Source organism: Homo sapiens, chromosome 6, assembly GCF_000001405.40.
Source record: "Homo sapiens chromosome 6, GRCh38.p14 Primary Assembly".
NCBI classification, from domain to species: domain Eukaryota; kingdom Metazoa; phylum Chordata; class Mammalia; order Primates; family Hominidae; genus Homo; species Homo sapiens.
In genome coordinates, this window is record NC_000006.12 from 43281760 (window position 1) to 43308987 (window position 27228).

Below are 27228 nucleotides of genomic sequence, written 5' to 3' on the forward strand. Positions count from 1 at the left end.
CATCGTCAGCACCGTCCCACCATGGAACAAAGCTGTGTCAGCCCTGATGCGCCCAGGGCATTGCGGGTGCCTGGGGATGTCTGTGTATTGAACAGGGTGGAGCTAGAGTGAAGGAGACACAGCAGCCAAGGTCCTGACCAGGTGGTCAGACCTTTCTAGTCTGGAAGGAAGGAGGCTAAGGGGGACATGGCAAGAGTCTAGAAAACCAAGGACTGCTTTGTCCATCACATTGCCAAGGGCTCTGCACAAAACTTTGAAGAGGAAAATGGAATGGAGCTCAAGTATACCTGTCGAGGGCTGGACAAATTCCTGGCTGAGAGGATGGATTGGAGGTCGAGGGGCCCAGCCTGCACTTTTAAGGGTAGAGGACAGCCCCGCCTTTGCCCTTGTCCAGCACAGGATCTGGTGGCCCTGGGCAGCCAGCTCTCTGGCCACAGAGAAACTGCACACCCTGAGGTGGTACTGAGGGCATCTAGGAGCCAGCCCGGCACAGCCCATCCAGGAAGTGGCACAGATACTTGCCGCCGTCTCTGGACCTGGCTTTCTCATCTGTAAAAGGAAGGGCTGATCTGCGTGGTGGTCGTGGTTCCTTCCAGTTTTCATTTTCTGTTATTGTTGCTGACTCGGGTGCAGGATGCACATGGCGATGAGAGGGGCTGGGGACATAGAGAGGCTGGGAGGCAGAAAGGCCACCAGGATCAGGGCCTGGGACTTCAGGGGACCTAGAGCATGGACAGTCATTCATCAGAGGTTTCCTGAGCACTCACTAGGCGCCAGAGACCATTCTAGGCCCTGGGGACAGAGCAGTGAACAAGACAGACCCAGTGCCTGTGCTTAACTTTATGGAGCTCACACTCTGGTAGACGACCTGGGCCTGTGAGTCTCCTAGGTTGTGGGTGCAGCTGAAGTCTTCCTGGGCCCAGGAGGGTGGGTGACCTCAGAGGGTCCCTGTGTATGCCCCTTGCAGGTGTTCTCCGTGGCGCCCCCATTTGAGGTGAATGGCCTCCCACGAGCTGTGCCTCTGAGTCTGCCCTACCAGGACTTCAAAAGAGACCTCTCCGATTACCGAGAACGGGCGCGGTTGCTCAACAGGGTCCGGAGGGTGGGCTTCTCGCACATGCTGCTCACCACCCCCCAGGTCCCACTGGCTCCTGTTCAGCCTCAGGCTAATGGGAAGGAGGAAGAGGAGGAGGAGGAGGAAGATGAGGAAGAGGAAGAAGAGGATGAGGAAGAAGAAGAGGAGGAAGAGGAAGAGGAGGAGGAAGAAGAGGAGGAGGAGGAAGAGGAGGAGGAGGCTGCAGCGGCAGTTGCCTTGGGGGAGGTGCTGGGGCCTCGTAGTGGCTCCAGCAGTGAGGGGAGTGAGAGGAGCACTGACCGGAGCCAGGAGGGTGCCCCGTCCACGCTGCTGGCAGACGATCAGAAGGAGTCCAGGGGCCGGGCCTCCATGGCCGATGGGGACCTGGAGCCTGAGGAGGGCTCCAAAACGCTGGTGCTTGTCTCTCCTGGCGACATGAAGAAGTCGCCCGTCACTGCCGAACTGGCCCCCGACCCCGACCTGGGCACCCTGGCTGCCCTCACTCCTCAGCATGAGCGGCCCCAGCCCACGGGCAGCCAGCTGGACGTATCTGAGCCAGGCACCCTGTCCTCTGTCCTCAAGTCTGAGCCCAAGCCCCCGGGGCCTGGGGCAGGGCTGGGGGCCGGGACAGTGACCACAGGGGTCGGGGGCGTGGCAGTCACCTCCTCACCCTTCACCAAAGTTGAGAGGACCTTTGTGCACATTGCGGAGAAAACCCACCTCAACGTCATGTCTTCCGGTGGACAAGCCTTGCGGTCTGAGGAGTTCAGCGCTGGGGGCGAGCTGGGTCTGGAGCTGGCCTCTGATGGGGGCGCTGTGGAGGAGGGGGCCCGAGCGCCCCTGGAGAACGGCCTCGCCCTGTCAGGGCTGAATGGGGCTGAGATAGAGGGCTCTGCCCTGTCTGGGGCCCCCCGGGAAACCCCCTCAGAGATGGCCACAAACTCACTGCCCAATGGCCCGGCCCTTGCAGACGGGCCAGCCCCGGTGTCCCCGCTGGAGCCAAGCCCTGAGAAAGTGGCCACCATCTCCCCCAGACGCCATGCTATGCCAGGCTCTCGCCCCAGGAGCCGTATCCCTGTCCTGCTCTCTGAGGAGGACACGGGCTCGGAGCCCTCAGGCTCACTGTCGGCCAAAGAGCGGTGGAGCAAGCGGGCTCGGCCGCAGCAGGACCTGGCGCGGCTGGTGATGGAGAAGAGGCAGGGCCGCCTGCTGTTGCGGCTGGCCTCAGGGGCCTCGTCCTCCTCCAGTGAGGAGCAGCGCCGTGCCTCTGAGACCCTCTCAGGCACGGGCTCTGAGGAGGACACGCCCGCCTCTGAGCCGGCAGCGGCCTTGCCCAGGAAGAGCGGGAGGGCAGCCGCCACCAGGAGCCGGATTCCCCGCCCCATTGGCCTCCGCATGCCCATGCCTGTTGCAGCCCAGCAGCCCGCCAGCAGATCCCATGGCGCGGCCCCAGCATTGGACACAGCCATCACCAGCAGGTGAGAAACCGCTGCCAGCCCCAGGGTGGGCAGAGGGTGGCCACAGGCCTCCACCAGGAGGGGCTTCTCCAGAACCAAGGTCAGGGGCTATGGAAGATCAGGAGGGACCCTCAGTGACACCTCCTGTCCAGCACCTCCCAACTGTGCTCTGCCTCACTCTGATTCGGGTTCCAGCCCTGTCACTGGGCTCAGTGAAGTGGCTTCAGTAAGCATGTGTGGAGGGGGTGCCGGAGAGGCCAGGCTTAGGAAAAGCTGATGGGGGCCAGTGGGTCCACACACAGCCTCTGGTATGCCATGGGGCATTGGAAGCCAAAGGATAAAGCCCAGTGCTTTGACTCCTTGGGAGAAAACATTATTTCATATTAATATAAACATAGGTATATTCTAGGTTAGAATGCAAAATCCATGAGAATTTTAAAGATGAAATGAGGACCCCAAAGAAAGCCAGCAGCAGGCTCTTCCAGCAGCAGCCTGGAAGCGTGTGGCCCCTCGAGGTCCTGCCCTGGAGGACAGAGAGCCAGGCCTCAGTTTACCCATCTGTGCCATGGTCTCAGTCTCAGCTCTGAGGATGCCGGACTCCAGTGCTCAGTGCCCAGGAGGATTCTGAAATATTTCTCCTTGTTTTGTTTCTTTGCCCTCTTCTTTTCTCCTGCCTTCTGCTCTCAAGCAGGCTCCAGCTGCAGACGCCCCCAGGGTCGGCCACTGCTGCTGACCTCCGCCCCAAACAACCTCCTGGCCGCGGCCTGGGCCCAGGGCGAGCCCAAGCCGGAGCCAGGCCCCCAGCGCCGCGCAGCCCGCGCCTCCCCGCGTCCACATCCGCCGCGCGCAATGCCAGCGCGTCCCCCCGGAGCCAGTCCCTGTCCCGCAGAGAGAGCCCCTCCCCCTCGCACCAGGCCCGGCCCGGGGTCCCCCCGCCCCGGGGCGTCCCGCCGGCCCGGGCCCAGCCTGATGGCACCCCCTCCCCCGGGGGCTCCAAGAAAGGACCCAGAGGGAAACTCCAGGCTCAGCGCGCAACAACCAAAGGCCGGGCAGGAGGCGCGGAGGGCCGGGCTGGGGCCAGATAATGACGCCCGCTGCTCTCCGCGGTCCCCCACCCTCACCCCGGCCCCCCACCCGCAGCCGGCCACACTGGAGCAGCTCCCAGCACAGCCTTACGCGCCCGACGCGCGCCACCCGCGGCCCCAGCTTTCCGCCTGCACCCGCGAGGACGCGCGCGAGCACACGCGGCGCCCCGCCAGGCCTTAGGGCCCGTGGGGGACGCGGCCCCGCGCCGCGGGGAGGGTCTGCCTCCCCTTCCTCGCCCTGTGTCCTCTCATCCTCCCGCCGCCCGTCAGGCCGGCCAGCCTCACATCAGTCTCTCCGCCCCGGGGAAGGCTCAGCCACTTTTCATCGAGGACTCCACTTCTGGGGACGCCTGGTTCGTTCGCCCACCAGGCCTAGGCTACGCTCCATGCTCCCCCAGCAATCTCTGCCTACACCTCCTGCGGCGCCTTGCCCTCCTCCGACCCCTTTCCAGCCAAAGTCCCCCCACCCCTTCAGAGAAGCAGCCTCAAATTCCAGAAGTGGAGGCTCCAGCCTCCCCGCGAGGGTCCAGCCCCACAGTCTTCTGGGAGCCATTGTGGCCAGGGACGGCCTCTGGACTGCCAGGCTGGGTTGGGGACCCAGGGAACATCGGTCTACTCAGGTGTGAGGGGGCAGGTCTGACCTGCCCCAAAGTTGGCTCCATCCTGGACAACTCGGTGAGAGGCAGTGGGCAAGTGATCTTGGAGATGGGTGGGCAGGTGATTCTGTGGGCAGGGGATGTGCTCCCCTGCACCTCTGGGGTGCAGAAACCTCTTGCCTCCAGATTTGGGTGGAGCCTCTGTGGGAACCATAGGAAGTGTGTGGGCTGCCTTCCTGGGCAAGTATTTCCCAGTGGGAAGTTGGAGGGGGCTTTAACAAAGTTTTACTCCCTCCCCTGTTCCCCTGATCTAGTGCTCAGGACCCTTCACCATCAGGAATTCCTTCCTGTCATCTAACCTCAGTCCTGCCTACTGCAGTTCCAGCCAACCTGCTCTTTCCTGAGTTCAAAGCAGGTGGAGACTGGCTGGTTACCATCTTTGCACTGGCCCTTCGGAGATTCGGGGACTCAGTTCTGGTGGGGTCACCCTCCCTGTCCTCCCGCCTGTGGGAGGGAGGGAGGGCTGGCTCAGGCATCGTCTCCCGCAATGGGCAGAGAGAGCAGAGACAGGTGGACCAACAGACAGCTGGCCCCTGGAGGCAGAAAGGCCCTTCTAACTTCCAGATTGTATGCTTGAGTGATGGGTCCCCAGCCCAAGCCCACTCTTCCCTCAGCTCACCCTTCAGCCTGTTCCTTCTTGCCCTGACCCCAGCCCGTGCAGCTGCTCTACTCCAGGAATGGATGTGGGGACTCTTCCTGGGTTCTGGCTCCTGCATAGCTCACCCCACCTCATCATGAGCCTCAACTGCCTACATCTGGGGCAAGCAGCACACCGGCTGCAGATGGGACAGCCAGCCCTGCCTATCTGGACAGGCCCCTGCAGCCTCTGTCCCCTGGCCTAGCCTCTCTGTCCTTCCCTGAGTCACAGAGAGCAAGCCAAGACATCCAGGGAAAGAGGAAGAAAGGCCTTAGTGTGCCCCAGCAGTCTGGCTGCGTCCAGCCACCATCACCCGGAAGGATGCCCACAAGGCAGCTGACCCTGAAAGCAGCCTCCCCCTCATGGAGAGTCAGCAGCTTGGGCAGCCACTTCCAGGCCAGGGTGGTGGCTTCTCTGCAGACCAGCTGAGGGGAGGACTCCTGGGTGGACAGCCTTTGACGTCCACCCCACGCTGATGCAGAAGCTCCCAGAACACTCAGGAAACTTCTCCGGACAGAGCCCTCCTTGTCAACTTGAGGCCCTCCCAAGGCCCTCTACTGCCCTCTGGGTCCAGCAGAGGGAGTGGAGGAAGGGCCACTGCCTCCCACCTAGAGCTTCTCCGAATGACAATCAGCTCGTGCCAGGTGGGGACCAGGATATGACTCCTGGTGCCCAGGCCCTGGGCCTGCTCCTTGCCACCAACCGAACCGTGAATGTAGGGCCCCCAGCCTCACCTCTGCCCCAGGACCAACAACACCCTGGTTTGGAGCTGGGAGGAAGAAGGGGGCCTGAGAGAGCCCCAGGTCCATTCTACCCCCAGCTTCACTCAGCACTGGAGCTGGCAGAGACGCAAAACCCAGTCTGCCCTTGGGATTCCAAACCTCCCTAGGGCTCCCAACTGACCTCAGGCCTCTGAGTCACTGAATGTCACCAGGAGAGGTGGGGGAGGGAAAGTGGGCCAGTGGGGAGGGGGTCACCTAGGGGACTGCCTCTGTGCCTCTCCCCAGGAAGCATCCAGGGCAGAGGAAGCCACATCTCCCGGTGCCCCCAACCCCAGCTGCAGCCTCCTCCCCCTGAGCATTCATTCTCTCCACCAGGCCTCCAGGTCCTGAGCCCTTCCTCTGTAAAAGTGTCACACCACCTCCCTCAGCACTTCCCCATCACAACAACCTATGTCACTGACTCAGATGCAGGGTCTGCTCACCCCAACACATGCCTTCCCTCCCCAGCCACACCGTGCACGAAGGGGGCACAGGAGAGGAGAGGGGCTGTGCCCCAGGCTCCCCATTTCCCAGCTCCTCACAGAGGCCTGGTTTGCTCAGTCTTCTGAACTCCAGGGACCAGCCCTGGTGGGCATGGGGTGGGGAGCAGGGAGTTGCCCTTCCCCTCCCTCGGGAAGCCACCTAAGAATGTTTACATGCCAAACAGAATGTAACACCCCTCCCCAAGCCCTTCCCAGTCACTGCATGGCCTCTGCCCATCCTGCACCTGTCCACCCCACCCCAACACCCTGGAAGCCACTGTCAATGATTAGATCGGGTCTCGGAAGGGAAGTAGCCATCACACCATTAAAAAGCCTGTGGACCTTTTTCTGTTGGCTTGGACTCTTCTTCCCTGAGGGAGGGCAGGCAAAACCCAGTTCCTGGGGCTGGGGCTGGCCAGGAGAGTGGAGCACAGGTTGGTGGGCAAGTGCAGAGGGACTGTCCTGGAGGCAGGGGAGGAAATGAAAGCTCAGGACAGACACAGGTAACTTGCTCAGGGTCACAGAGGAGGAAGGGGACTGTCCTGCTGTCCTTCTGACTGCAAATCGTACACTCTCACAGCCCTCTGGACGCTTCTCCTGAGGGCCAGAGACCCTGAGTCTGGCTTTGTGCAGACAGGCCAGGAGGAAGAGTTTTTTAAATTATTTGTACAAATTGATGGAGTACATGAGAAATTTTGTGACATGTATATAATGTGTAGTGACCAAGCCAGGGTGTTTACAGCATCCATTACCCAAGTACAATACATTTTGGTTAAATATCGTCACCTTACTCAGCTTTCGAACATTGAATTTATTCCTTCTATCTCACTGTATGTTTATACCATTTATTTATTTTTATTTTTATTTTTTTTTTAGAGGGAGTCTCGCTCTGTTGCCCAGGCCGGGGTTCAGTGGTGTGATTTCAGCTCACTGTAACCTCCGCCTCCCAGGTTCAAGTGATTCTTGTGCTTCAGCCTCCCGAGTAGCTGGGATTACACATGTGCGCCACCATGCCCGGCTAATTTTTGTGTTTTTACTAGAGACAGGGTTTTGATATGCTGGCCAGGCTGGTCTCGAACTCCTGACCTCATGTGATTGACCTGCCTCGACCTCCCAAAGTGTTGGGATTACAGGGGTGAGTCACTGCACCCCGCCTGTACCCTTTAATTTGCTTCTCTTCCTCCTTCCCACTCTCGAGGAAGAATTTTCATTACCCCAAAGTTAACAGACAAAAGTGAGAGTGTCTGGAAAACCATGCAGTGTATCAGCTCACAGGCAAAGTTATTATTATGAAAAAATCTATCAAAATCACAAATGAGCATAGCTTGTGTCCCTGCTTCTCTACTTTAGAACTGTATCCTGTGGATGTATTTGTACACTTGCAAAATTACATGTGTCCAAAATTATTCAGTGCAGTATTCTTTGTATGGCTCCAGAAAGCCTCATCTGCACTTTTGAGACCCAGAAAGTTCTGAAAACTGGGATTTCTCGCATTAGATTGGCACACACTCACTTGTTATAAAAAAAAAACCTGACAAGACCATTTATAATCTTTATTAATTCCACTTATCATCCATATTTGCCGTGGAAACATTAACATGTTTGATGATGGGATAAGTCCCATTAGGGTATTTTATTATTTTTTATTTTTTTGAGACGGAGTTTTGTTCTTGTTGCCCAGGCTGGAGTGCAGTGGCACGGGCTCAGCTCACTACAACCTTTGCCTCCTAGGTTCAAGCGATTCTCCTGCCTCAGCCTCCCCAGTAGCTAGGGTTATAGGTGCCTGCCACCACGCCCAGCTAATTTTTGTATTTTTAGTAGAGACGGGGTTTCACCATTTTGGCCAGGCTGGTCTTGAACTCCTTACCTCAGGTGATCTGCCTGCCTCGGCCTCCCAAAGTGCTGGGATTACAGATGGGAGCCACTGCACCCGGCCCACCATTAGGGTATTTTACAATATATGGAATATATGCTAAATTACCTTTCTGAATATGTGTGTGTGTGTGTGTGTGTGTGTATATATATACACACACACATATATATAGTATATATATGTGTGTATATATATATACACACATATGTATACATATATACATATATATGTGTGTGTATATATATACACACACACACATATATAGCTGACCCTTGAACAACACAGGGGTTAGGGGCACCAAACCCCTTGCTGTTGAAAATCTGCCTATAATTTTTGATTCCCCCAAGACTTCATTAATAGCCTACTGTCGACCAGAAGCCTTACCAATAATAAACAGTCGATTAACACATATTTTATATGTTTTATATATATTATATACTGTATTCTTACAATAAGGTAAGCTACAGAAAAGAAAATGTTATTTAAAAAACCATGAGGAAGAGAAAATATTAAGTGGAAGTGGATCATCATAAAGGTGTTCATCCTCACTGTCTTCATATTGAGAAGGCTGAGGAGGAGGAGGAAGATGAGGGGTTGGTCTTGCTGTCTCAGGGGTGGCAGAGGCGGCAGGGGTGGAGGAGATGGAGGGGGAGCAGGAGAGACAGGCACAAAACTTGTGACTTTTATTGAGAAAAATCAGTTTATGAGCAGACTAGTGCAGTTCAAACCCGTGTTGTTCAAAGGTCAACCATACATGTACAACCATGTATGTACTTCTGATCCCAACAGTTTGGATAAGAGACTATGGACCTATAAAAGTTCAGAAGAAATCTAAATGCCCAATTGGGGCTGCTCAGTAGAGCATGGCCCACCCATAAAATGGGGTCCCAACCATGGGGTACTGTGAGACTCTAAAATGAAGGAGGCTAGCTGAGTGCTGCGGTGTGTCTGTAGTCTAGCCACTTGGGAGGCTGAGGTAGGAGGATTGCTTAAGCCCAGGAGATTGACTCCAGCCTGGGGAACATAGTGAGACCTTTTTCTCTAAAAAAATTAATGAAGGAGTTGTCTGTTTGTATAGTATACACTTATGGACCAGTCTCCAAGACCAAGAATAAGAAAAAGAAGCATACATATAATGTACAATTTTGTGTCTGGAAAGGCAGGTGAGATGAGTGAGAGGTGTCTGGCCGCCATGGGGCAGGAGAGCTGGGCAGAAAGGAGGCTTTGTTCTAGTGTACATACTGTAGGAGCTTGTGAATTTTGAACCCTAGGTTCACTCGGTGTAAATCTTTCACCTCGTCAATGTATAAACAACTTTGGTTCCAGGCCAGGCTCCTGGCTTTGCCTGAGATCCAAGGTAAAAAGGCCCAGGCTCGCAAAGTCCTGCTGTCCCTCCAAGAAGGCCACTCTCTGGCATTCCAGAAACATCCTGGCTCCTGGGACACTCTTTCTGTTGGCATGGATGCCAGCGTGCTCTAGGCCCTGATTCATCAGCCTTCAGTGGAATCTCCATGTGATTTCGCTTTCCTTCTTGTTTAAACTGTCAAAAGCAGGACATACTTATGGTAAAAAGGCAAATGCTAAAGGCATATAAAATAAAAGCCCCCTCCCTATCCATGAAGCTGACCACATAAAGGTAACTCTTACAAATGGCTTGGTGTGTACCATTTCAGACCTTCTTTTTCCTGTTTGTAATTAATAGCTCTCTCTCTGTCTATATATACATATTTATTATAAATAAAAAGGAGAGCATATTATACCTACTATTCTGAAATGTGTTTTTTTTTTTGAGACAGGGTCTCACTCTGTCACCCGGGCTGGAGTGCAGCAGCACAATCATGGCTCACTGCAGCCTCGACGCCCCTCCCCAGCCCTGGGTTCAGGTGGTCCTCCCATCATATATATGTGTATATATATATGATGTTTTGGTAACTATCTTCTTTCACTTAGCGTGTTTTCAAGGTACTGCCATATTGTAGCATTTATCAGTACTTCATTCCTTTTTATTGCCAAATAATATTTTATTATATGGACACACCACATTTTGTTTATCCATTTGTCAGTTGATGGACTTTGGGTTGTTTCTGCTTTAGGTTTTGATGAGTAATGCTGCTATGAACATTTGTGTACAAGTTTTGTTTGGATGTATGCATTCACTTCTCTTGGGTATATACCTAGGAGTGGAATTGCTGCTCGATCATATGGTAATGATATGTTTAACATTTTGAATAATTACCAAACTTTTCTAAAATTGCTACATCATTTTACACTTCCACCAGCAATCATGAGAATCCTTGTGTTCTTTTTAATAGCTACATCATATTCCATGGCATGAATGTTCCATAATCTATTTAACCAGCTCCATATTGGTTTTTCATTACTCTTTCCGACTTTTCACTATTTTCACTATTTCAAATAGTGCTAAACTTGGCACTAGAACTCTTGGCTCCAACCTATCTTACTTCTTCCAGTCTAATTCTAGGAGAAAACCCCCCCAAATAATTAAATAGATAAAAATGGTACCTTATTGTATTTTTTAATTTTCTCGATTATTGAGATTGAATGAATGAATGTCATGGGTTATTCATTCATTATTTATTTAATCCATCTTTCATTCATCCAACCCATTAATTTAACTAATTCTGCAGACTATTGCTGAGCCCAACATGTGCTAGAGGCTATGCCAGATGTCGGGCACCGACCAGGCGCTAAGACAAAGCACAGCATGACCTGAAGGAGGTGGCTGGGGCTGGGTGTGATGGTATGTGCCTGCAGTCCTAGCTACTTAGGAGGCTGAGGCAGGAGGATCACCCGAGCCCAGGAGTTCGATGCTGTACTGAGCTATGATCATGCCACTGTACTCTAGCCTGGGCGACAGAGCAAGACCCTGTCTCTAAAAAAAAAAAAAAAAGTGATTGGAAATTAACTTTCATTTTATATGTGGCATGTGCCTTGATACTCAAGGCATAGGGAGGAACTCCCAGCCCAGACTGAGAGCTTCAAGGAAAACCCCTAGAGAGAGATGTGCCTCTTGGACTGAATTTTGAAGGACAAACAGGAGCTGGCCAGATAGAGGAGAGGACATTCCCAGGGGATGGGGGAGCAGCACGGGCAAAGAGTGGGGGGCGAGACTGCATGGAGTTCAGTGTGGGGAGTCACAGGCATAAATCGTGGAGTGGAAGAGAAGAGTGAGGAGGGAGTAGGGCCAGGCTTGGAGCCAGGACAGGCTGTGCCAAGGAACAGGGCTTTAAGGCATTGCAGAGACCCTCTGCCTACCTCCTGCCCCCAGGAGCCTGAGACTTGTCAGGCACATTCACTTCCCGAGGCCCAGCTTGGCTGTCAAGGACTATCTGATGCTCTGCATGCGAGGGCCTCTCTGGTCCCTGGCAGACCTTCTCCCTGTTCCCTCACAGAAAGACATTTCTTTGTCCTGTGGTCAAAGAGAGGTGTGAGGGCAGGGGCACAGAGAAATAAATGGCTTGAGCAAGGTTGCTCTGTCAGGGGCTAGATGGGAGCCACAGACCAGGGACATTTAGATGAGCCTTTTTTTGATAGAGAGGGGCCCCTCAGAAAAGAGACAGGGGTGGGAATGTGGAGAGTCTTGTGTCTCTAATCATCAGACGCTGGGGCCTGCTGAGATTTTCCCATGGCCTACTGATGAGTCAAGGCCAGGACAATAGATGAGGCCAATGCAAGGCTAAAGGACTTAGAACCATCTTTCTAAGTTCTCAGGAGTTTCAGGAGCCTGCTCATTGCCTAAGGTGATGAGGTGATATGGAAGGAGAGTCTTTCTGGCCATGGGTTAGAGGTCATATGACGTAAGCCCATTTTCAGCAGCTCCAGGTGGCATCTTCTGCATTTCTCCTCACCTTTAAACCGGCAGTGGTGTAACACCATCCATTACCACTACCACCAATTTTACCACAATCCGCACCTCTGTCTTCATTATCCACCATTACTAGCTTCGTCTTCACTCAGATCACAGACATTTTTCTCCCAAACTATCACCATCACCTCCACTAGGCTTTGAAGACATAATGATTAACAAAAGACAAGGTCCTTGCCATCAGGGAGCTTACACACTGTCATCACCTCCTTCACCATCACCATCACATCAGCAACATCATCATTACCATTATCACCACCATCACCACATCACCAACATTACCACCATCACCACATCACCACCAGCATCATTACCACCATCACATCACCACCACCATCACTACCATCACATCACCACGATCATTACCAACATCACATCACCACCACCATCATTACTACCATCACATCACCACCACCATCATTACTACCATCACATCACCACCACCATCATTACTACCATCACATCACCACATCACCACCACCATCACTACTACCATCACATCACCACCATCATCATTATCAACATCACATCACCACCACCATCATTACTACTATCACATCACCACCACCATCATTATTACCATCACCACATCACCACCAGCATCATTACCACCATCACCACATCACCACCACCATCATTACTACCATCACCACATCACCACCACCATCATTACTACCATCACATCACCACCACCATTACTACCATCACATCACCACCAGCATCATTACCACCATCACATCACCACCACCATCATTACTACCATCACATCACCATCATCATTACCAACATCACCACATCACCACCACCATCATTACTACCATCACCACATCACCACCACCATCATTACTACCATCACATCACCACCACCATCATTACCACCATCACCACACCACTACCAGCATCATTACCACCATCACATCACCACCACCATCATTATGACCATCACATCACCACGACCATCACATCACCACCACCACCATTACCACCATCACATCACCATCATTGCCACCATCACATCACCATCGTCAGCATCACATCACCACCAGCAACATTACCACCATCACATCACCACTACCATCATTACCATCACATCATCACTACCATCACCAGATCACTGTCACCATCATTACCACATCTATCACATAATCCTCATCACCACTGCTACCCTCATGACCACATCATTACTACCAGCGGCCCTAGCCCCATCCTCTCATCTCTACTCCAATCACCCCTGTCACCATCACTTCCATCACCAGGATCCCACCTCCCTTACTATTATACCATCCACCACCCTACTTACCACTGCAATTGATTTTGTCATTGCCACCATCAACAGTGTAGGAAATGACTACATGGGTTGCAGCAATGGTTAATGGTCACTGAAGCCCCAATTAAGATGGGTAGGTCATCTGAGGTCACTCAGTGGGGCGGGGGCAAAAGAGTAAAAGGCCTAAAGTGTAAGAATTCCCTATTGCAAGCAATCTCAAATTGTTTATTCCAAGAATGTATTTTTCCTGAACCCTCCAATAATTCTAGTAATAATTCCAATTAAGGAGTTTTTTTCTTTTTTCTTTTTTTTTTTTTTGAGTCAGAGTCTTACTCTTACACTGTACTCAGGCTGGAGTACAGTGGTGCAATCTCAGCTCACTGCAACCTCCACCTCCTGGGTTTAAGCAATTCTCCTGCCTCAGCCTCCCGAGTAGCTGGGATTATAGGCACGAACCACTACGCCCAGCTAATTTTTGTATTTTTAGTAGAGACGGGGTTTCACCATGTTGGCCAGGCTGGTCTCGAACTCTTGACCTCCAGTGATCCACCCGCCTTTGCCTCACAAAGTGCTGGGATTACAGGCGTGAGCCACCATGCCTGGCCAGGAGTTATTTTCCATTGCACAAGGCTCCTCTCCATCCAGTTTGGTATAAATGAAGGTCTCTACCTTGGCCTCTGAGCTCAGGTTAGAATTCCCAGGTTGGAGGGGTGGGAGGATGGTTAAAATATAATCAAAACCAGCTCTTAACTGGTGATTCAGAGTTGATCTATCCATCCTCTGGTTAGACTCAGCATTTCATACCTGCCTGTCCAGCTCCATCATCAGCCATCATGGTCACTGTCACCATCATTCTTCAATGACATCAGAGAAGAGAGCTTCCCTATGAGGTAGGGCCAGGGAATAAGATGGAGCCAGAGGTAAAATTAATGCCAAATTACTCTCTGGAGAAAGGGGCTGCAGATTTATTTATTTTTTATTTTTGAGACAGAGTTCCACTCCTGTTGCCCAGGCTGGAGTGCAGTCGCACGATCTCGGCTCACTACAACCTCCACCTCCCAGATTCAAGCAATTCTCCTGCCTCAGCCTCCTGAGTAGCTGAGATTACAGGCGCTTGCCCCCATGTCCAGCTAATTTTTTGTATTTTTGGTAGAGACAGTTTTGCCATGTTGGCCAGGCTGGTCTCAAACTCCTGACCTCAGGTGACCCACCCGCCTTGGCCTCCCAAAGTGCTGGGATTACAGGCATGAGCCACTGTGCCTGGCCAGGGCTGCAGATTTAGATTTGAGTTTCCTAGGAGCCAATGTCAGGAGGGAGAGGTAACCACTGCATGATTATCAGCTATTTCTGATATTAAAGCAGGAGAGAAATTCCCATTGTGAAAACTAAGTCGTCACAGCCAATGGCTGAGGTTGGCCTCGTTAGCTGTCTTCTCTGGCTGTGAAAAAACTTCAGAGTATTACCCTGTGGAGCCACTGGATGGGACATGGAGATGGGGTGACCACAAAACTTACCTCTCAGGAGCTGCAAAGTGTTATGGTATTTTATACATTTTATATTAATAATATCATTACATAGTATTAAATGAGGGAGGAACCAACAGTGTGAGGTCACACGTGAGTGAGGATGAGAAGGGTGGAGGTGTCTCCCCTTGAGCTGGTCTTCAGGGAGGTTTGGGCATCCACTTGGTGAATGAGGAGGAAGCCACATTGTCCAAGGGACCACACTAGGGTGTGACATGCCAATGAGCTGGTGTGTGCAGAGAACTAGAGGGAAGGGAGCATGTTGGAGAGGGGTCAGGGGTGGACTGGGGGAGAGGATCTAGTCCTAGGGAAGTCATAAGGGCCAAGCTAAGGAGCTAGACTTTCCCCCTCAGGCAGCAGAAGCTGGTGAAGGGTTTTAAACAGGGATGTGACCCTCTTAGATTTGTGTTTAAATGTTCACTGTGGCCAGTGTATGGAGAATGGGTTGAAAGGGGTGAGACTGGAGACAGGGAGGGTTAGCTTATTTTAACCCTCCTGTAAGCTCCCTAAGGGTAGGGACCGTGTCTGAGGCATCTATGTACCCTCTAGAATGGCGAGGATGCACTAGAGACTCAAACATTTCTTCTCATTGTCACCCCCTGTCACTGCCACCACCATTAGCTGCCTCTTGCTTCACTCCATGGCTGTCAGCACCCCCATTAACACACGCCATGCCATCGATTTAGCTCCTTTCCCAGCGCTTTCTCAGGGATCCCAGCCTGGAGCAGACTGGGACATCACCAGCTCAGCAGCTTAGGTCAAAAGTGAGATTCCTGGTCTGGAGTCAGGGGACCTGGTCTTTTCTTCAGCTCTGCTGCTGAGTCATTGTGTGACCCCAGCAGGTCCCCTCCCTGTCTTTAGTTTTCTGACCTGTTCAAAGTAGGAGCTGGATTAAACCAGTGGGTCTGCCAGCTAAGTGTTTGGAGAATCAGATGAGAATAAACCAGACATTGCTGGTTTCTGCTGTACTTTTGCTGCAGGGACCATGATTGAGAATTGAGTGGGAGGGTCAGATTGAACATTTGAGTCTTAGGTATTGCATGTACCTTTGACAAGACCTTGGTAACTCCCCCTCCCCCATTCCCTACCCCTCCAAAAGGTAATCTTAGGCATTGCAGGTACCTTGGCAACATGTCCCCCGCCATTCCCTATCCCTCCAAAAGGTAATTTAGGAAGCTGCTGGAAATAGGGGAATGGGACAGGCAGTTGGAACCATATGTATGGGGAGAGTCCCTGAGTGAAGTGGGAATGGGATGAGCCTGGGATCCTCAGAGACATCAAGTTGCCCGGTGTGATCACAGGTGTGTCTTAGGCCAGGGCATCAGCTCCCAGCAGGGGAGAGGGATGCGAGGAGGCCTCATGGCTCAGCAGAAAGAAACCTGGTTAGGATCCAGCTTTCAGTCCTGAATCCTGGGCTGTCGGCCAGGCCATGGCTGTAGCTGCAAATAGGCAAGGCTGACCTAAGGTCTCACAGGACAAAGGGCACCCTGGGAGAGCTGGCCCCAGGCCCCAGGGGCCTCCTCTTCTTAGGGATCCTGGGAGCTCTGCTGACCAAGGGGCTAGGGGCTCACCTCCTATGCCATCACCCAGCTACCTCATCATGGTAGCCTTGGTCCCTGAACACTAATGGGTAAGCCCCAGAGCCACGAGCCAGTGACCTCTGAATGGATGGCTTCCCCTTCCCCCAGGCACCAGGCAAGACAGGTAGAGGTCCCTGGAGACCTGATGGCTGGGGAGGGCCCAGTCCTGGGCCAGCCCCTGAGGGCTGGATTCTGGCTGCAGGCTCTCCAGTCCATCCACTCCCACCTCCAGAGTCCAAGGGTCTATGTGGTGGGCAGTTTGAGCTGGCTGGATACTAGAGGGAGGCTGCACCTGAAGCATTTGGTGGGTGAGCAGCATGGGCTTTGAGGAGCTGCTGGAGCAGGTGGGCGGCTTTGGGCCCTTCCAACTGCGGAATGTGGCACTGCTGGCCCTGCCCCGAGTGCTGCTACCACTGCACTTCCTCCTGCCCATCTTCCTGGCTGCCGTGCCTGCCCACCGATGTGCCCTGCCGGGTGCCCCTGCCAACTTCAGCCATCAGGATGTGTGGCTGGAGGCCCATCTTCCCCGGGAGCCTGATGGCACGCTCAGCTCCTGCCTCCGCTTTGCCTATCCCCAGGCTCTCCCCAACACCACGTTGGGGGAAGAAAGGCAGAGCCGTGGGGAGCTGGAGGATGAACCTGCCACAGTGCCCTGCTCTCAGGGCTGGGAGTACGACCACTCAGAATTCTCCTCTACCATTGCAACTGAGGTACTTAAGCCCAGAAGTTGAGAGACATGTGAGAGGGATGGGCCTGCCATTGCCTTGGGTGGTTACTGTGTAGGCATTAGATGTATTACTTTACCTCTTAAAGTCTCAGTTTACCAATCTGTAGATGGGGGCTATGAATATAAGGCACTTTTAGTTCATGGCTTGTAGTAACAGGATCCTACACAAGAACTGTTATCATCATCATTAATTGGGAGGTGATTAAGGCAGGGAAGGGCTAAAGTGGCTTCAGGGAGTTGAGACAAAGAGCTGAGAAGGCAATTTCTGCAGCAAGAGGTGGAGAAACAATAGAGGCCTTCTTTTCTCCCTTCCTCTTTTCCAGTCCCAGGTCGGTATTTACATAATCCATCTGGAGGTGGAATGTCGGTGGAGGCAGTCTCCCTGGGAGGCAGCAGGTCGAGGCCTTCCTTGGGAAGAAGCTGAGGCTGCAGGACTGGGGAGGGACAAAGTTTCCTATTCCCCAAGCTGGCGTGAATCGTTGGGAGGTTTATTATCTGGCATGGAGGTACCAGAATGGCAGAGTTCGCCTCAGAAGGCTCCAGGGTCTGGAGAGGAGGAGCTGGTGCCTGCTGGAGAGGGGCTGATGTTCATAGGAGGTCCCTTTCTGCCTGTCCTTGCAGTGGGATCTGGTGTGTGAGCAGAAAGGTCTGAACAGAGCTGCGTCCACTTTCTTCTTCGCCGGTGTGCTGGTGGGGGCTGTGGCCTTTGGATATCTGTCCGACAGGTGGGGTGAGGCACTGGGCCAATAAGAAACTGGCTGGGGGAACTTTCTCCCACTAGCTGGGGTATGAGCCTAGTCTACCTATGCCTTAGAACCTCCTTCCACAGGGAACTGACCCTGCATGACCCCTTTGCAGGTTTGGGCGGCGGCGTCTGCTGCTGGTAGCCTACGTGAGTACCCTGGTGCTGGGCCTGGCATCTGCAGCCTCCGTCAGCTATGTAATGTTTGCCATCACCCGCACCCTTACTGGCTCAGCCCTGGCTGGTTTTACCATCATCGTGATGCCACTGGGTGAGGCAGGCAAGAAACAGGCAGGACCTAGAGGGCTGGAAGAAGGCAGTTGTCAGAGTGAGGCTGAGCCCATCTGGTCCTCACTAACCATCTTCCTGTCTCCTGTCCTGGCCCAGAGCTGGAGTGGCTGGATGTGGAGCACCGCACCGTGGCTGGAGTCCTGAGCAGCACCTTCTGGACAGGGGGCGTGATGCTGCTGGCACTGGTTGGGTACCTGATACGGGACTGGCGATGGCTTCTGCTAGCTGTCACCCTGCCTTGTGCCCCAGGCATCCTCAGCCTCTGGTGAGGACTGCAGGCAGCTGGGGAGCGGGAGATACAGGAAGTGAAAGATGAGATTAATCAGAGCCTGAGATTTGAGGATAGAGAGATTGAGAGATGAAGGGAAAGAGAAACGAAGTGACCAAGAGACAGAAAGAGACACAGAGAAAAAGAGACAGAGAGACAGAGATCAACAGAAAGAAGATGGCAAGGAAAAGTGAGAAACAGAGAACAAGATACAGAGAGTCAGAGATAAAGACAGAGCCAAACATAAATTGAGGCTGGCCCCTTGGAGAGTTGGGGATAGGGGCAGGGCCAGCATGGGGGTGGGGAGCTCAGGCCGGAGAGTGGGAGGACAGGCAGGGTGGGCACTACATTGCCTCCTAAAGATGACTTGGCCTTGGATGACCCTTCTGGATATGTCTACATGTCTGTCCCTCCTTCATCTCATTCCCTCCTGCCACCCATGGGAGAAGTGAGTGGCTGGTGCTGGGAGCTGGTCTTGAGGGTAAGGACAATTCAGTTGAATAAGGGACTCCCAGGCTATGGAGGACCTGGGCCTGGGCAAGGAAGTGTGGGAAGAGGTGTTTTATTTTTATTTTTATTATTTTTGAGATAAGGTCTTGCTCTGTCGCTGGAGTACAGTGGCACAATCACAGCTCACTGAAGCCTCAACCTCCCAGGCTCAAGTGGTTCTCCTGCATTAGCCTCCTGAGTAGCTGGGACTACAGGCGTGTGCCACCACACCCAGCTAATATTTATTTTTTGATTTTTTGTAGAGACAGGGTCTTGCCATGATGCCCAGGCTGATCTTGAACTCCTGGGCTCAAACCCACCCTCCCGCCTTGACCTCCAAAAGTGTTTGGATTACAGGCATGGGCCATTGCACCCAGCCCAGAGGTGGCTTTTAAACTGGGCATTAAAAGATGAATAAGAGCTCATCAAGTGTGGAGGGCTTGGGGAGGAGATGATGTTCCAGGCTAAGGGGACTACATGAGCAAGAGCCTGGAAGTTGAGAGCCTGTAGTATGTCCAGGAACATGTGGCTTAGGGTCATGACTTTCTGGCTGATGGACCTTCTGCCTATTCCTAGGTGGGTGCCTGAGTCTGCACGCTGGCTTCTGACCCAAGGCCATGTGAAAGAGGCCCACAGGTACTTGCTCCACTGTGCCAGGCTCAATGGGCGGCCAGTGTGTGAGGACAGCTTCAGCCAGGAGGTGAGGGTGAACGTGTGTGTGAGCATGCATATATGTGTGTGGTGGGGAGTGGGCTGTGTCAAGTGCCTCCCTCCCAGAGCCCACCATATATGGCAGGAAAAGCCCCTGGGCCCCCACAGAGAGTTCCGAACTCTTTAGGATGTCCTACCTGGCTCCAGTGGGCCACATCCATCATTCGAGACCCACTCGTCTCAGCTGCCATGAGCATCTCCATCCCCACCACTGCAGATGGGAGGAATAGAGAGGGGTGGGGGGAGAGTACTGTGTCCCATTGAGATCACATAGCCAACTCTGATGTTACAACCTCACCTCCTTCCCTACCAGGCTGTGAGCAAAGTGGCCGCCGGGGAACGGGTGGTCCGAAGACCTTCATACCTAGACCTGTTCCGCACACCACGGCTCCGACACATCTCACTGTGCTGCGTGGTGGTGTGGTGAGGAGGCTGGCTTGGGTCTGGCATGGGTGTGGTGGGAGGGAGGAGCAAACTCCAGGCTGGTGCTGAGTGTGAGAAGGGCTCTGAGGGACAAGTAGAGTGTCACTGTGGAGGGCAGGAGGATAAACCTCCATGGGCGATCTGCCTGGGGAAGTCAGAAAATGAAGCAGGTAGCAGAGACACATGGGTTCAAGCTCAGACTCCCACTTCCTTACTTGGAAAGGGACAGATGACTTAGCCACTCAGAGCCCCAGTGTCCCTTCTGTAAAACGGACTGTTGTCAGTTCCATGTCAGGGTTGCTGTGAAAATTAGGGTAAAGGCGCTTTGACTACTGGCGCATGCTGCACAGAGGGCATTATGGATGTCAGGGAAGGTCCTGGCGGGGGGACCGGGGGTTGCAGAGACAGAAGGAGATTGCCCTTGTAAAATGCCAAGTCTTCCTGAGAAGAGAGGCCAAAGAGGGATGGGAAGGAGGGTCCGCCAAGTGGCACTGAGACTCCTTTCAGGTTCGGAGTGAACTTCTCCTATTACGGCCTGAGTCTGGATGTGTCGGGGCTGGGGCTGAACGTGTACCAGACACAGCTGTTGTTCGGGGCTGTGGAACTGCCCTCCAAGCTGCTGGTCTACTTGTCGGTGCGCTACGCAGGACGCCGCCTCACGCAAGCCGGGACACTGCTGGGCACGGCCCTGGCGTTCGGCACTAGACTGCTAGTGTCCTCCGGTGAGCCCAGTCCCATAGGTTCTGCCCACCCCAGAAGCCGGGCCAGGAACCCTGCCCACTCCCCGGAGACCCCACCTCCTGGCCAAGAACCCACTCCTCCCCCAGATCCCTGCTCTTACCCAGTGAGCTCAGACTCTCCACCACTTAAGTTTGGCCCACTCTGGAGACTCCGCACCCTATCCAGAACACCCCTGGCTCTCCTCCAAGGCCCTCTCACTACCTGAACCCGCTTCCCTCCAGATATGAAGTCCTGGAGCACTGTCCTGGCAGTGATGGGGAAAGCTTTTTCTGAAGCTGCCTTCACCACTGCCTACCTGTTCACTTCAGAGTTGTACCCTACGGTGCTCAGGTGAGGAAGCCTGCAACTGATCTGGGGGTATGGGGCTTGTTAGTCACGTGTCTTAACCAACACTTCTACATACACGCACCACAACCTGGTCTCTCACTCATTTTTTTTTTAATTTTAATTTTTGGTAGAGACGGGGTCTTGCTATATTACCCAGACTGGTCTCAAACTCCTGGTCTCAAGCGATCCTCCCGCCTCAGCCTCCAAAAGTGCTCGTATTACAGGCACTATTACAGGCATGAGCCACCGCACCCAGCCTCTCACTCGTTCTCCACACTACACCCAGAATACAGAGCTAATCAGGGCCCTCTGTGTTTGCCCTAGTCTTGGAGAAGGCAGAGCATCTTATCTTCTGTACTATGTGACCCTGAGCCACGTCAGACATCCTCTCTGGGCCTCCTTAAGAAAACAACCCCAAGGCCGGGCACTGTGGCTCACGCCTGTAATCCCAGCATTTTGGAAGGCCAAGGCGGGCGGATCACTGAAGGTCAGGAATTCGAGACCAGCCTGACCAACATGGTGAAACCCTGTCTCTGCTAAACATACAAAATTAGCTGGGTGTGGTGGCGAATGCCTGTAATCCTAGCTATTTGGGAGGCTGAGGCAGGAGAATCGCTCGAACCTGGGAGATGGAGGTTGCAGTGAGCTGAGATCATGCCATTGCACTCCAGCCTGGGCGAGAAACTCTGTCTCAAATAAATACATAAATAAAAGAAAAAAATTAAATAATAATAATAATAAGAAGAAGAAAACAGCCCCAAGAAGCCCCATCCTGCCCACCCCCATCCCATTCACCCCTGGAAGGCAGAGATGCCCTTGAGGACTGTCCCAAGAGCAACCCCTTGAAAGGCCCGGGGTTGGGGGGGTCTTTCAGCTAGCTACTGAGAGGTGGGAAGAGGAAAATTCTAGGCATCTGGTCATGTTTAGAAAGAGGTTTGCCTCCTCGAACAACATGGCAGGGCCTGTACAAACTACTGACCTTCTTCCTTCCACATCACCCTTTCCTTATCTCCCAGTCTGGTGACTTGTCTTCTCCTTTAGTGATACCTAATTGGTACTCTGTCAGAATGGGGGCCCTGTCCTCTGGTGGGTGCTGGCTTGAGGTCTCCTGGCCTGAAGGTGGGTGGGAAGACCAACTGAAAGAAGTCCTAGTTTTCTTAGCTATATGGGGAGAAGGGAGTATCAGGGCCTGCCAGCCCTGGAGGGAAGCCCTGTGGGGCATGACTCCAGGTAGGTGTGAACACCATCTGCCTCCCTCATCCTCTTTCTCTGAACAGACAGACAGGGATGGGGCTGACTGCACTGGTGGGCCGGCTGGGGGGCTCTTTGGCCCCACTGGCGGCCTTGCTGGATGGAGTGTGGCTGTCACTGCCCAAGCTTACTTATGGGGGGATCGCCCTGCTGGCTGCCGGCACCGCCCTCCTGCTGCCAGAGACGAGGCAGGCACAGCTGCCAGAGACCATCCAGGACGTGGAGAGAAAGAGGTGTGTGCACAGGACTGTGTCTGTGTACGTGTGATAACATGCATATGGATGCAGGTGCTCAGATACCTGACACCTTAGGATTCAGACAGGAAACTATATCTGCACATGTGTACTTGGTGCATGTATGTGTGCGTGCACAGGTGAGTGTTTCAGGGTGCATGATTGGGGGCATGTAAACTGCAAGCATAAATGTGTACATGAGTGTATGAACACAAATACATAAGGTTGTTCAGGAAGATGTGTATGTGTGCACACTCAAGTATGCCTACACATCAGGGGTGTGTACAAGCATGTGTGTGAGTCACTTGTACAGGCGTTTGTATACCAGGAACTGGGGTGAGCCCTGGGACAGCCCTGATGGGGCAGGCTGGGGTGGTAGGCTCGGGGATTAAACCCCACCATTGCTCACAACTCCTTCCTCCCTAGTGCCCCAACCAGTCTTCAGGAGGAAGAGATGCCCATGAAGCAGGTCCAGAACTAAGTGGGAGTGGAGGCAGGCCCTCCACAGAAGCTCTGCAGCAGGGGCTGGGAGAGCAGAAGGGCAGGCCCTGCAACTCAGGCTGGGAGTATCGAACCCTCTGCCTAGGGCCGGAGTTGCTGCCAGTACCCGCTCCCTCTGCTCATCCATCCTTGATTATTTGGCTTCTAGGAACAGTTGACTTCCCAGAATGCAGTGGGCTGCTGGGCACCCCTCTCACGGTTGGGGAGGATTCTGTAAATAAAGGTGCCCCTTGGGTTGGGGCAGTGGTGACGAGCTGTGGGAAGAGCCCTGGATAGGAAGCCACTGAGTCTGCCCTGGGCTCTGATAAAACCTTCACCATTAACTTGCTGTGTGACCTTGGGCATGTGGCTTTCCCTCTCTGGGCCTCAGTCTGTTCATCTCCCAAATGGATAATGAAGCCTCTTGGGAGGCCCTACCATAGGATCTGTTGCCATGCTCAAATGAGTTACTGAATAAGGTGCTTCTGCTTCTTCTAGAGATGGTGCTAAAGAAAGGACTAGCATATGAGACTTCTGGTACCAATGGGGCTGGTGGGCATGCTGTCCACTGTGTGGTGCTAGGACTGCCAATGCCAGGCCCAAGGGACAAAAAGAACAGAGCTTTTTGTTCTCATGGCTGGCCCTGCTACCTCCGAGGCACCCTGCAGGGCAATGCATGTCATCCCAACCCCCACACTCCCCATCCTCCAACCCACTGGTCTCATGCCCAAAGAAGAGTTGAAGGCATGGGAGCCAACATTTTATTGAAGAAGCCACAGAGGCTGAAATTCAATAAACACAAGTTTTATGAGTACCTTGAAGCTCCAGAATGTGCTGGGGAAAGGGGTTGTGATGGCCAGGAGGAGGATACCCTTCAAAACGGGCTGTTCCCTAACCAGATAGAAATGGGAAAGGGAAAAAATTGGCAGAGAAAGTCTAGACTCTCTGGCCTACCATGGAGCCTAGGCCCAGGCCCCCAAGATCCCACCTTCCCCAACCCCCATGGGACTGGAGATTTTTGTAGCTTCCATTGGACCATGAGGGGCATGATGGGAGGCCTGAGTTAGGGTGACCTTTTTTGTGAGCGTCTCATTTGAATTTTATCTTCACTGGGTCATAGATGTAGCAGCCCACATCGCCAATGTTCACACCTGAGAGAGAGAGCCCTATCACCAAAGGCCCTGGGTCTGTGGTGCAGGGTTCAGGCCTAGAGGGAACTTGGTGGGGGGGCCAGGGTATGCTTAACCACAGGGGAAGTTGTCCACACATACCCACAGACCATGTACATGCCATACTTCAGGCATGTACATGCCATCCCAGTGTCTGGGATGGGGCTGCCCACCTTTGGGGCCAAACAGGTAGCCGTAGCAGGGGACGTGGCAGTAGGGGACTCCATCATGCTGAGACACAGAGAGAAAGAGAGCTGTCTCAGCCTGGTTCTCTTCCCATCTCCAGCCTCCTCCCAACATAACCACTCATTCCTGCCCTGCTCACCTCAGCATGACTCCCAGCAGTCAGGGTCTTGTGGCAACGCTGGCACCTCAGACACGGTCGGTGCCAATTTCTGCCTAATGACATCACCTTCTCAGCTGGTGGTGGAAAGAAGTGGTAATGCTTCCATTCTAGGGGTAGAGTAGGGAGACCTACCTGCCTTGGATCACCTCCCTCCCCCTTGCTGCCCACCCTGTATCCCCCTCCCCAAGTTTTCCACTGTTACTTACCAAAATAGACGGGCTCCCCACAGCCAGGGCACAGCGAGGTCTCCCCAGTGAATGTCTTCATATGGGGAGGGCCTTTAAAGGGGAAGAGGCCCTGGCTATGTCTGAGGTGGAGATGCCCACCAGCACCTGCCTGCATATGGTGCTGTCCTCTTTCAAAAGCCATGCTCATTCCAGAGTGCCCCACCCAGGCGCCCAAGAGTCTGCCTTCTACAGGCCCAGAGCTGAGCCCCCTCTGACTCCACCTCCTGCCCCATCCCTATGTGTATTAGGGACTATCTGCTTCCTTCTCCTGCTTCCTTTTCATCCTCCCAGGGGCTCACGTACCCACCATCCCAACCCTGTTAGCAACTCAATCCTCAGGAAACTTGAGCTGATATAGGAGCTGGCCACAGCACGGGTGTCAGGTGTTGGGGAGCACAGTGTCATTGCCTACTTCAGGGAATGGAGGGAAAGAACAGGGACCAGAGGAGAAAAGTTGAAGAATATGAGAGGCTGGCCTTATCCCAATGACTCCTCTCCTTTAGATCATTCCTTCCATGGCCCTGGCCTGGGACAGACCTAAGTTCCTGGCCAGCTTTGCCTCTGACTAGCTTTGTGGATGGACAGTCATTTGCCCTGTCTGGATCTCACTTTCCTCACCTGTAACACACGAGGAGAGGGGATAATGCCATCTGCCCAATTAACCTCTTTTTTTTTTTTTTTTTTTTTTTTTGAGATGGAGTCTCGCTCTGTTGCCCAGGCTGGAGTGCAATGGCATGACCTTGACTCACTGCAACCTCCGCCTCCTGGGTTCAAATGATTCTCCTGCCTCAGCCTCCCAAGTAGCTGGGATTACAGGCATGAGCCACCACACCTGGCTAATTTTTGTATTTTTAGTAGAGATGGGATTTCACCATGCTGGCCAGGCTGGTCTCGAACTCCTGACCTCATGATCCACCTGCCTCGGCCTCCCAACAATTTACCTCTTAACTCAGCAGCTCACATGAGGGAATAGAAAGAAAGAAAGAAAAAAAAAGCGGGGAGTAGATAGAGAAGACTTTGCCAAGAATGAAGTTGTGAGAATGTGAAGCAGAGGGCTGGATAGGAGACTGCCACCTGGCCCAACCTCCGCTCCAGCTTGGGGAAGGGTCGGGAGGAGGACTGGGAGGAGCTGAGCCCAGCCTTACTTTTCTTGCCTTGGGGGAGGCCAGTCCTTGGCCTGGGAGGGCTGAAGCTGCTGGGGCTGAGAGGAGTGGTGCAGCCAGGGCTGGGAGTGGGGGGATTGTACAAGTAGGAGCCTACACCACCAATGTTCACCCCTGAAGAGAGAATAGGGGAGGTCAGGCTTGAGCCCCCAGCTCCCAGCCACAAGGAGGGTTCTGCTGACCCATGGCCCCTTAAGGCTGGTACTTACCCCTGGGTCCAAAGAGAGCCCCATAGCATGGCTTGTGGCAGTATGGCCTCCCATTGTGCTGGGCACAAGCAGAGGGAAGTGGGTTACTCAAGGCCAGCGGGAGCCATGCCCCACAGGCCTTCACCCCAGACAGGCTGCCAGGTGTGTCTGTCCACTGGCTGAGTCTGGTGGGCCTGGGAGGGGTGGGGGATGGGCTGGCATGCCAGCATTTCCACTGTGGTCAAGGGAGGAAGAGCAAGAGCAGCTCAGAAGGTGACGCTGCTTCCCACTCACCCTGATCCCCAAAACCATGGGATCCACAGTCACGACCCAGGTTCCCAAATTCCTGGCTGGTGTGGGGTCCACCAGGTGGGCGGCCTTGGGGTTGGCTACTGAGGTTCCCTTTGGCAGGCCTCCAGTGCTGAAGTTGGGGGCTGGTGCCTGGGGGGTGGGAGGCAGTGATGTAAACAGGGCAGTGCTCCCTGGCCAGGTCTTACCTCTGCATGCCCGCCAGGGGACAGGATGCTGTGGCAGCGCTCACATTTCAGGCAGAAGCGGTGCCAGTTCTTGCCCAGGGAGCTCACCTTCTCAGCTGTGGAGGACAAAGTGGAACCGAGCTGCGAGGAGCCTGTCCAAGCATAGGGCCCCTCCTTTCCCTCTTCGGCCCTCTAGGGAATTAGGTTGGCCTGCCCTGCTTCCTGGAGATGAGTGTCTCCAGGAGGCCAGCTCCATCCCGCTCCGGTTTCACACTCCCCACAGAGCTCTCAGAGGAAGGGAGAAGACCCGAGTGGGAGCGGGTGGTGCGGAGACTACCAGCCGCTGCAGGTGAAAAGGGTGTCTGGGACTACACTGTGGCTAGCCCTCCGCGTCCTCAGGGAATCCAGCGGCTCCCATTCGCCCCATCTTCTCCCCCTCCGCAGCCCGGGCCTCACCGAAGAAAACAGGTTGCTGGCAACGCGGACAGGTCCAGCTCATAGCTCCGCTCCAGGCAGCGCACGCGGCACACAGTAGGTACGCCGCTGCGGCTCAGTTCCGCCCCCTCCGCAGGCTCCACCCACGGCTCAGCTTTGAGCCTCCCTGGGCGGAATCCGCGGTTCCTCGGCGCTCATTGGTTATCAGAAATTTAGAACCACTCCACTTGGGAGACAAAGGGCTATTTCGCTGTTACTT

The 27228-nt window shown here is 53.7% G+C and overlaps 3 protein-coding genes and 1 long non-coding RNA gene across 22 annotated transcripts in view, besides 3 other annotated features; 2 read left to right on the plus strand and 2 right to left on the minus strand.

Annotated features, from left to right (window-relative positions):
- TTBK1 (tau tubulin kinase 1) overlaps positions 1-6499 on the plus strand; it is a 44778-nt gene extending 38279 nt beyond the window's left edge. For 5 of the 7 annotated variants that reach the window (XM_017011364.2, XM_011514947.3, XM_017011366.2 and 2 more), the window contains 2 exons: positions 968-2553; positions 3221-6499. In XM_017011364.2, the coding sequence (XP_016866853.1) occupies positions 968-2553; positions 3221-3617 (1983 nt within the window). In that variant the 3' untranslated portion in view covers positions 3618-6499. The remainder of the gene's footprint in view (positions 1-967; positions 2554-3220) is intronic. The other 2 variants (XM_017011365.2, NM_032538.3) reach the window with 1 other exon arrangement.
- Positions 4917-5769: an enhancer, noted in NCBI's record as "H3K4me1 hESC enhancer chr6:43254414-43255266 (GRCh37/hg19 assembly coordinates)". NCBI's record gives its function as "activates a minimal SCP1, AML or CMV promoter by ChIP-STARR-seq in naive H9 embryonic stem cells {active_cell/tissue: H9 hESC(naive)}" and the evidence as "EXISTENCE:reporter gene assay evidence [ECO:0000049][PMID:30033119]".
- Positions 9152-9446: an enhancer, noted in NCBI's record as "tiled region #10500; HepG2 Activating DNase matched - State 5:Enh". NCBI's record gives its function as "activates a minimal TATA promoter and a strong SV40 promoter by Sharpr-MPRA in HepG2 cells {active_cell/tissue: HepG2}" and the evidence as "EXISTENCE:reporter gene assay evidence [ECO:0000049][PMID:27701403]".
- Positions 13955-23779, plus strand: SLC22A7 (solute carrier family 22 member 7). Of its 12 annotated transcripts, XM_047418104.1 has the most exons (12): positions 13955-14069; positions 16861-16992; positions 17333-17515; positions 17631-17734; positions 17868-18022; positions 18139-18307; positions 19376-19499; positions 19824-19933; positions 20441-20655; positions 20896-21004; positions 22279-22485; positions 22912-23779. In XM_047418104.1, the coding sequence occupies exons 3-12, from the start codon at positions 17510-17512 to the stop codon at positions 22964-22966; spliced, it is 1254 nt and encodes a 417-aa protein (XP_047274060.1). In that variant the 5' UTR covers positions 13955-14069; positions 16861-16992; positions 17333-17509; the 3' UTR covers positions 22967-23779. The 12 variants fall into 12 exon arrangements, with proteins under 12 accessions (XP_047274060.1, XP_011512558.1, XP_016865687.1 ...); XM_011514256.4 differs by lacking the exon at positions 13955-14069 and having other exon boundaries at positions 16501-16992; positions 17868-18031; XM_017010198.3 differs by lacking the exon at positions 13955-14069 and having other exon boundaries at positions 16501-16992; positions 17868-18031; positions 23464-23779.
- Positions 17183-19827, minus strand: LOC124901319 (uncharacterized). Its single transcript, XR_007059582.1, has 2 exons — positions 19648-19827; positions 17183-18057 (listed from the first exon to the last, which is right to left on the minus strand). It is a non-coding gene; the product is annotated as an uncharacterized LOC124901319 (long non-coding RNA).
- CRIP3 (cysteine rich protein 3) lies at positions 23713-27067 on the minus strand. Of its 2 annotated transcripts, NM_206922.3 has the most exons (8): positions 26991-27067; positions 26556-26650; positions 26080-26137; positions 25853-25984; positions 24687-24758; positions 24460-24554; positions 24308-24365; positions 23713-24116 (listed from the first exon to the last, which is right to left on the minus strand). In NM_206922.3, exons 1-8 carry the CDS (start codon positions 27031-27033, stop codon positions 24055-24057), a joined length of 615 nt encoding a protein of 204 aa, NP_996805.2. In that variant the 5' UTR covers positions 27034-27067; the 3' UTR covers positions 23713-24054. The 2 variants fall into 2 exon arrangements, with proteins under 2 accessions (NP_996805.2, NP_001352997.1); NM_001366068.1 differs by lacking the exon at positions 25853-25984.
- Positions 25727-26584: an enhancer, noted in NCBI's record as "H3K27ac-H3K4me1 hESC enhancer chr6:43275224-43276081 (GRCh37/hg19 assembly coordinates)". NCBI's record gives its function as "activates a minimal SCP1, AML or CMV promoter by ChIP-STARR-seq in primed H9 embryonic stem cells {active_cell/tissue: H9 hESC(primed)}" and the evidence as "EXISTENCE:reporter gene assay evidence [ECO:0000049][PMID:30033119]".
- Positions 27068-27228: the final 161 nt, after the last annotated feature.